This window comes from Homo sapiens, chromosome 9 (genome assembly GCF_000001405.40).
Source record: "Homo sapiens chromosome 9, GRCh38.p14 Primary Assembly".
In the NCBI taxonomy this organism is placed as follows: Eukaryota; Metazoa; Chordata; class Mammalia; order Primates; family Hominidae; genus Homo; species Homo sapiens.
In genome coordinates this window covers 77935159-77944795 of record NC_000009.12, presented here as the reverse complement: position 1 = coordinate 77944795, position 9637 = coordinate 77935159, and the positions used below count along the sequence as shown (strand labels likewise).

The window sequence follows — 9637 nt, the reverse complement described above, 5'->3', positions numbered from 1 at the left end:
GTAATTATGGAATCACAGCTGCTTTAAAGAGGCAGTGTGTCATCTTGTGTTCACTGAATATTTTACTGTACTTTACACAGTTAATTTCACACTGGGCAAGCTAAGTTAGTGTCAAAGTGGCAGACCAGATTTCTCTTGCGTTACAATGAGTGGCAGAGGTTGGAGCAATGCCTCAGTGGAAGAAATGGTGGTTCACAGAGTTATGTGAGGGGTCCCATGAACTTCCACCTACTCCCAAACATATTTTCTACTGGGCCTGACCAGAGGGGCCTCAGAGGTTGCTGAATGGTAAGTTTGGTGGAGGAGGGAATAGGAATGGTTTGGTTTCTGGTCTAAAGAGGATATATGGGGTGAGGCGGCTTGATGGTGCAAGGATGATTGAGTGTTTTAAATGAATGGTTTAAGTGACAACCTGCATCTTGTATACACAGCTTCATAAAACAGCCTCTATTGGTTGTTTGATGGAGCCAGGTGATCTGGTATGGCGGAAGATTTGTGAGCCCCACTGGAATAATTCTAAAATGCTTTTATTATAGTTTTTGATTATGAAAGTAATTTATTTTCAAATGTACCAGATTTTTGAAATACTGAAAAGATTAAGAAAAAAAGTACTAGTATTGCCATTAGCCAGATATCCTATTGTTAATATTATGTATGTATTCTGAATGAATCAGTAGATTTTGAACAGGTATCATTCGTTCATACTGCCTGCCTGTTTTCTCTTCTAATATATGAGGAACATATTTTCTCACTATTGAATGTTCTTCTAAAGCAGTATTCTGGTAGTTGCCTAACACCACATGGGACAATTTTAAAATAAGAAGTCACTGGCTAGGCACTGTGTCTCACGCCTGTAATCCCAGCACCTTGGGAGGCTGAGGTGGGTGGATCACCTGAGGTAGGGAGTTGGAGACCAGCCTGGCCATCATGGCAAAACCACATCTCTACTAAAAATACAACAATTAGCCAGGCGTGGTGTTGTGTACCTGTAAATCCCAGCTACTCTTGGGAGGCTGAGGCAGGAGAATTGCTTGAACCCAGGAGGCAGAGGTTGCAGTGAGCCAAGATCACGCCACTGCACTCCAGCCTGGGCAACAGAGCAAGACGTCGTCTCAAAAAAAAAAAAAAAAAAAAAGTTAGTTACTTCCAGGATAAAGGTACTTTATTTTTTTTTCCAATTTGTGTAGTAGAGGAAATCAAGCTTTAATTAAGAGTGGTCTCACATGAATGTGCATACTAGAGATTTATATCATTATAGAAAGAGAAGACACTTTTGAGTTTATCCAGTCTGACTCTTGTAAATATGGGAGAATTGTGACCCATATTATTCCTGTGACTACTGAAAGTCAAACATTTTAATCGCAGAAAAGGGACTAACATTCCCAGTGTTCTTGCCCGTGTCATGTTACATTTGCAAATCTGTTACAACATATTTTTCCTTTTCTCAAGACACGTCGAACATGTGTCAGTATATACTGTAGTTAATATCTCTTAAGTTTCTTTTGTGGTTTGTAGCTTGGCTTTAAAATGATCTTGAGGCTCAAATTTGACTCAGGAACCAAAACCCCTGAGGGGAGCCCTTTCCTTGGTTCCCTGGGTTAGAATAATCTTCAAATCTATGTTGACCTGAGAGCTTTTGAGGTCAGAAATGGGTTCTGCAATGCCCAACATCTGCCTTGTGAGGTTATTAGTCTTATGTGCTAACTGGGACTAGTGGAACTTCTAAAAATAGTACTCTTTTTTCATGGATTTTGTTTCTATCCATTAAGAAGTCATCATTCCCAGCCCATTTAATGATAAATGAAAACCAGAAAGGTAAATTCACTCATTTACAGTCAAATAACCAGTTGGTTAATTATTGGATCCAAGTGCAGCAGATTTGCAAGGATTGCAAAGATTGCTTAAAATTTAATTTGTAAATGCTTGTTAGAAATTTGTAAAATACAGACAAAAAGATAATATAACCTGTATTTTTACAAGCCAGACACAGCTATTGATCATATTCTGGTAGATTTCAAGTGTCTTTATTTTTAAAAGTTTTCTACATGTGGATATTTGAAGGGGTGCAGTTGAGATAATTATGCATTACCCTTTTTTCTTTGATCCTCTACTGTGTTTAGGGTCCTGAGGTCAAGGACTATGAGGAATATATGTGGTGGGGTGTTGATTGATTTTCTACTTTTTGGTGAGTTTCCCAGGAAATCTATTGGGAATGCCTTATTATTTTTTGTTTCCATTGATTAGGACAAGGGTTACTAATGTAAAGGCTGTGGTTTTCATCCAGCATGCCAGTTCTGTTTCTGCTCTGTCCAGCCAACCATTTTGCAAGTATATCACAGTACTCACAAAGCAGAGTGATGGATCACTGCAGAATTAAGAAAAACAACTCAACCCAAAACATGTTCTGCTAATGGCTCACTAGTAAAATCATTCCATTATATAATATTCAAATTCCTTCATATAATACTTGACCACTCTCTGACATTTTCTTGTATATTTTATCTCAGTTTTATCTTCACAAGGCTGGTCTTAGAGGAATTCCAAGTACAGCCCCAAACTACCTCACCTTCCACATCTTCTGACTTAAAGAACATGATCTTTTAACTCTGTTACCAGTTCTGTTACATCTTTGAAGTAAAGTCCTTGTAAGGGGATAGACCTTTTTTTTCTCCCAGTTTCTTAACAACTGTTTTATTTTTACAAAATATACCATTTTAATTTGTTAAATTGGGAAAATACAAGTTAGCAATAGGAAAAAGAGAAGTTACTCATCCTACCACCCAGAGATAATCACTTTCAACACTTTATTATAGATTTTTCTACCCTACCTCTTTCTATATAATACTCTGTGTGTGTGTGTGTGTGTGTGTGTGTGTGTGTGTGTGTGTATGTATGTTGTATGTAAGTGCACATTTTCGAGAACTGGTATGAGGTTTACATATGAATTTGCAGTCCACTCTTTCCATTTGGCAATATATTGTCAACAGTTTTATTTAGTTAAACGTAATAAAACATTGTTTCTCCTAGTTGCGTAGTCTCTCATCATATGGATGGACTGTTATTTATTTTACCCATTCCTTATCGTTGAATGTTTAGGTTTTGATTTTTTGATGCTTTTAATCAACTGTGAATACACATCCAATAGCTAATATTTGCAACATACATGAGCATTTCCTTGGGGAAAGTTGCTAAAAGTGGAATCACTAGAGCAGAAACGTATACAATATTTTAAGATATGGTACCTATTGGCCAGGCATGGTGGCTCACGCCTGTAATCCCAGCACTTTGGGAGGCCGAGGCAGGCGGATCATGAGGTCAGGAGATCGAGACCATCCTGGCTAACATGGTGAAACCCCGTCTCTACTAAAAATACAAAAAATTAGCCAGGTGTGGTGGTGGGTGCCTGTAGTCCCAGCTACTTGGGAGGCTGAGGCAGGAGAATGGCGTGAACCCAGGAGGCGGAGCTTGTACTGAGCCAAGATTGCGCCACTGCACTCCAGCCTGGGTGACAGAGCGAGACTCTGTCTCAAAAAAAAAAAAGATATGGTAGCTATTGTTGAGTTTTTTTAGAAAGCTTTGTGGCTGTTTGTATTTCTCACATTGGTGTATAGAATTCCAATTTTGCCTTAGATTTCCAAATCCTAAATATGAGCATTTAAAAACATCTTTGCCAATTTAATACTTGAAAAATATTATGTCATTGCCATTTGAATTTGTTAATTCTTTTAATACTTGTGAAGCTAAATTATTTTTTAGTTGTTACTTTTTTTTCCAATTGCCCTTTTCTTTATTGGGAGATTTAAAAAAATGACTTGCAAATTTTTTTTTTTTTGAGACGGAGTCTCGCTCTGTCGCCCAGGCTGGAGTGCAGTGGTGTGATCTCGGCTCACTGCAAGCTCCTCCTGGGTTCACGCCATTCTCCTGCCTCAGTCTCCCAAGTAGCTGGGACTACAGGCGTCTGCCACCACGCCCGGCTAATTTTTTGTATTTTTAGTAGAGATGGGGTTTCACCGTGTTAGCCAGGATGGTCTCGATCTCCTGACCTCGTGATCCGCCTGCCTCGGCCTCCCAAAGTGCTGGGATTACAGGCGTGAGCCACCGCGCGCAGCCGACTTGCAAATTTTAAAATACATCACTATTAACTCTTTGTAGTATTTTGCAGATACTTTCTCCCAATGTGTTAGATTCTTTTTAAAATTTAATTTAATTTTTCTTTTTTAAGAGACAGGGTCTCTGTCGCTCAGGCTGGAGTGCAGTGGTGTGATCTCTGCTCACTGCAGCCTTGACCTCCCAGGCTCAAGTGATCCTCTCCCCTCAGCCTTCCAAGTAGCTAGGACCACAGGTGCCCACCATGCCCAGCTAATTTTTGTATTTCTTTGTAGAGATGGGGCTTTGCCGTGTTGCCCAAGCTGATCTCAAACTCCTGAGCTTAGGCAGTCCACTCGCTTTGGCCTCCTAAAAGTGCTGGGACTACAGGTGTGAGCCGCTGTGCACAACCTAGGTCCTATTTTTAAAGGATTGTTTGTTATGGGAGTTCATACACTTTTTATAATCTGTAATATGCACTATAAGGGATATTAGGACTGTGTACTACTGCTAATATTCAGATTTTTTCCATGCCCTATGTTCTTCACCTTTATAACTTCTCTTCAGCTTTTTAGATGCTCTTTTACAACCTTCTTCTATTCCAGAATACTTTTAATAGGATCATATGTATGTCCCAGTTTGCCTAGGACTATTGTGGTTTACACATATTGTCTAGTATAATTTTTAATAGTACCCCTTTTACTCTTAGAAATTATTGTTTTAGGATGATAAATTATATGATCACCCTAATCATTAAGTGTCAGGACATCAGCGAGTACATAACTGTGAGGTAACCCAATCAGAACTACTTTCTTGGATTTGGTTTAAAAGGGGAGGGTGCAGAAATCAGGCTTGCCACACAGTCTTATATTCTTAATATGCAAAAGAGTTCAATGGCCATGTTTCAAAACACCCAACATATTATGATTATAAAATATTCTCTATATGGCATTATCTGTTTGATTCTTGCTAATTCTTGTTGGACAGAATAATTACCTACTCTAAAATTAGGTTGAAATCAAAATTCCAGAATGAGTTTTTTCACCCAGTTGATTATCTGTTATGGCTATTGACTTGTGGTTTGGATTTTTTCTGTTTTTTTCTTTGCTTTCTGTATTATTCATTTCTGGAGATGAATTGGGAGAGAAAAGGGGGGAACTTATTTAGTATTTTAGAATTATTCATGCTTTATACTATCTCAAGGTGGTGAAATTTATGAGTTTATAGTCAGCAATAGGTTGGGACATCAACTGTACTCTTCAGTTTTAGTAAAAATAAATGAGTTTTCAATAAGGTGACTAAAATATTCCTAGTGAGGTTTGAGTAAACATATTTAGTTCTTCATGCTGCAGGATCAGAATTTTCTTATCAAACTGAAGGCACATGACTCATGCGTAGCCGTTGCATGCATTAATAGAATTTGGAAATTTACTTTTGGCCCAGTGGAGGCTCTGAGGTAGAGTTTCATGGCCATTGCTATAAAAGACTGTAAATGTGTGTATTTATTCAACATTTCTAGAACCTTCCTTGCCCCTCATTCCATATCCTTAGGAAGGTCATGGGGACACACCTGATATAGGAGAACAGTGGGAAAGAAGTGACACTGGAAGGTGGGATAAACTTGATTTGTACTGGTGTCTCTCCCAGGTCAGCCTGGGCAGACCCTCACACCCAGAGAACCCTCAAGGCTGCCCTCTCCTCCTTCATGCAGCCATTTGCTACATTGCAGAGGGGCAGGGGGCCCTGTCAGTCCCATCTGCCTAGTTCCACTGGTCCTCCCACCACATCTAAAACCTTCCATCAACCAGTATCCAGATGATTTTGTCTCCTGCTTTGAATATTCAGTTGTGCATACTTAGCAGCGTTTCCCTTCCAAAGCCCCAGGAAGAAGCTTTCCAGAATCGCGCTTCTAGCCTGTATGCCCTGAAAATGCGTTTGACAACGTAACACAGCTAAAAGTGGCCTATCAGCTTCACACTTCACCAGTTTTCCTTCTGGACCTTCCAGTAGTGCTAAAGGTGCTCCCATTTTCTCGGATTCCCAGGTTCAAGCCGTGCTTCTTTCTTGGTCTCCTCTTTCTCTCACTGCAGCACAGACTACAGCCACAACCTGCCTGTTCTATCTTTTCAATATTAAGTCCTTCCTTCTTGCCCATTTTCACCACACAATTTCAGGCACTTACCTCCTGTGTGGGCCTTGCGGTAGCTTTCTTTGGTCCCATTTATTTGTTGTGTTTCTTCCCTGTAAAATTGAACTGTTTGTGCCATGCCAGTGTCTTCTTCATGAGTCCTATGATGAAGTTCTTACCTGCTCAGAACTTTTCAATAGCATCTCATAGGCTGTTGGATCTGATCCAAACTCTGTCATGTGTTACATAGAGAAAGAACAAAGCGGTTACATCAGAGCCCACATATAAATATATATAGTTGATCTTCTGAATCCATAGGCTGTGTGGATTCAACCAATCTCAGATGCAAAATACTTAAAAATAAGTAACAATAAAAATAACCTAAATAACAATACAGTATAACAACTATTAACATAGCATTTACATTGTATCAGGTATTATAAGTAATGTAGAGATCATTTAAAGTATACAGGAGGATGTGTGTAGTTTGTATGCAGATGCTATACCATTTTATATATGGGGCCCCTAAGCATCTGCAGATTTTGGTATCGGTGGAGGGGTGAGGGTTGTCCTGGAAACAATCCCCTTGATACCAAGGGACAACTGTACTTGAAAGCCAAAACAAGAAGGAATGCATTTAGCAGCAAGCTCTTCTATCTTTTTTTAAATTTTATTTATTTATTTATTTTGAGACAGAGTTTCACTCTTGTTGCCCAGACTGGAGTGCAATGGTGCAATCTCAGCTCACCGCAACCTCCGCCTCCCAGGTTCAAAGGATTCTCCTGCCTCAGCCTCCCGAGTAGCTGGGACTACAGGCATGCCCCACCACGCCTGGCTGATTTTGTATTTTTAGTAGAGACAGGGTTTCACCATGTTGGTCAGACTGATTTCGAACTCCTGACCTCTGGTGATCCGCCTGCCTTGGCCTCCCAAAGTGCTGGGATTACAGGCGTGAGCCACTGTGCCCGGCCAAGCTTTTCTAAGTAGTGTGATGTTTTGAGTAGTTAGGTATTTGACAACTCCTTAAAAGTCTCATTACCCAAATGGAAACGTTCTAAAATGGATTGTGATGATGCTTGCACATATCTGTGTATATATTAAAAATCATTGAACTCTACATTTTATTTATTTATTTATTTATTTTGAGATGTAGTCTTTCTCTGTCTCCCAGGCTGGAATGCAGTGGTGCGATCTTGGCTCACTGCAACCTCCTCATCCTGGGTTCAAGCAATTCTCCTGCCTCAGCCTCCCAAGTAGCTGGGATTACAGACATGCACCACCACTCAGATAATTTTTGTATTTTTAGTAGAGACAGGATTTCACTATGTTGGCCAGGCTGGTGTCGAACTCGACCTCAAGTGATCTGCCCCTTTGGCCTCCCAAAGTGCTGGGATTATAGGTGTGAGGCACCACGTCTGGCCAGAACTCTACATTTTAAATGGCTGAGTTGTAGGGTATATATGTGATATCAACAAAGCCGTTATTTAGAAAAAAATTAATTACCTGTACTTTATAAAATTCCTGTGGCACCTGTTATAGTACAAAACAAGCAATAAGTAATGACTTAATTGCCTCAGCAGTAATATTTATTAAGAAGAATATATGGAAAAGAAAGAAGAATACTTCATCATTGGAAATTTTCCCACCTCTATATTCTCAACTCTAGTTTGTGGAAGATCTAGAATATTGTAGCAGTCATTCATTTAATATGTAGTATATTGACAGGCTCTAAAAAAAAGTTGATGGTGAGTATACTTGGGAGAGCCTTAAGTACACAACAGGACAAGAAAGGAATCATTCTAGGGTCAGCGTTAGGCTACAGCTTTTGGTTTTTGAAGCCCTGCCCCAACTCATGTGTGGTGTGAGTGCGGGGGTATGGGTGTGATTTCACAAACCCCTGGAAATATCACCCAACTTAGTGATGCCTAGTGATTCAATATTTTCTTTTTTTGATTTGTTAAAGTATTTTGCATTTAGTTGGTTTAATTTCTGTTAACTTCCTTACTGGTTCAAGTAAGCAAGTACAGTCTATGTGAGGCACTGTTTTCACTAGATGCCTTAATGACTTTTTTATCTTTTCTATGATGAAACATTTCAGGGGGAAGGTTGCATATAAGACAGTTGGTTTCTGATCGTTTTTTTAAAGACTAAAACCATGTTTATTATGCTTCCTCCAATGTTATTTTTATGTATTATTGGGTCGGTGTATTAAAAATAAGGTCTGAGTATATACTGCTATAATTCAGACAGCATTTGTTGGGTCATGAGGCCTAAACCAAGAACTAATCCAAGAGCCATACATTATATCTTGGGTTATGATATCTCTTCCCCTTTAACTCTAGTTTTTGCTTCTTGGATCACTTCATGGGTTGTAGAACAAGAGGAGAGGCTCAATTTAAATTAAGAGGCAAATTGGTTTCACTTCCTCGTTTTTCAGGCAAATGGTAGGAAGTCATCATATGTGCAGGCTTTACTAAACATTAATAAAATGCACCGATGTACTTTCTTTAACTTTACTTTCTCAAGGAGTAATTCTGGTTGTAAGAGTGTCCTTTCTTATTTCCTGCCTGCTTGTTATACATTTCAAGGTGTGATACTTCCGAGCAAAGAGATCCTTCCCTTTGCAGGAAGAAGGCATATTTCCATGTGCAATTTACTTAGTAGTAAGGAAACCCGCATTTATTTATTTTAGGCTTAGGTTGACTATTGCTGTTTCTGAAGAAACTGAAGGGGAAAGATGGGAAGAGAGACTCCTGCTCTGTTACCATTTTGTTGCACGTCTGTTCCTGTCACTGGATTGAATACTGGAGGAACATAGGGCAATCAGGTGAAATAAATTAGAGGACAAAATTTAAATTAATGAAACAGCCCATAGGGTACCTTTTTTAACTGGCTGGTGAAATCGTCTTGACATCAAAATTGGTGGTACCAGATGTTGCGCCTGTCTTTTGGACAGCACATGTGGAACACACAAGAAGCATCTTTGGACTGCTTTGGAGTAATTATAACCTAAAAGAACAGGGACATTTCATGTACCTATCTTCGAAGTTCTCTGAGCATTCGCTACCAAGGGGCAACTTCCTATCTCCAATGGCAAATGTATTGGCTTTTTACAAAAGCTGAATCTTAAAAAATTTTTTGTTTTAGGAGAAGTGAGAACCCAACTGATTTCCTAATGCATCTCTTTATGACGTAGTTGGATTCTCCCAAATAGCCATTTGGAAATGATACTTTCAAGAGTCCTTGCTGGGTGGTTTAATGCCAATAATGAGACCCCCCAGCAGGTACTATGGTTTTTGATCAACATCAACATTTCCCCCCAAGAGAGAATTTTAAACTTTAAAATGTGAACAATGCAGAGGTTTGGCTTGCTTGTACATGTGTGTTCTAATCATGCTCTTTTTCTTCCTTTAAGAAAAGGGA

The 9637-nt window shown here is 39.3% G+C and overlaps 1 protein-coding gene across 3 annotated transcripts in view; it reads left to right on the top strand.

Annotated features, from left to right (window-relative positions):
• GNAQ (G protein subunit alpha q) overlaps positions 1-9637 on the top strand; it is a 315715-nt gene that overhangs the window by 87016 nt on the left and 219062 nt on the right. The window lies entirely within an intron of this gene.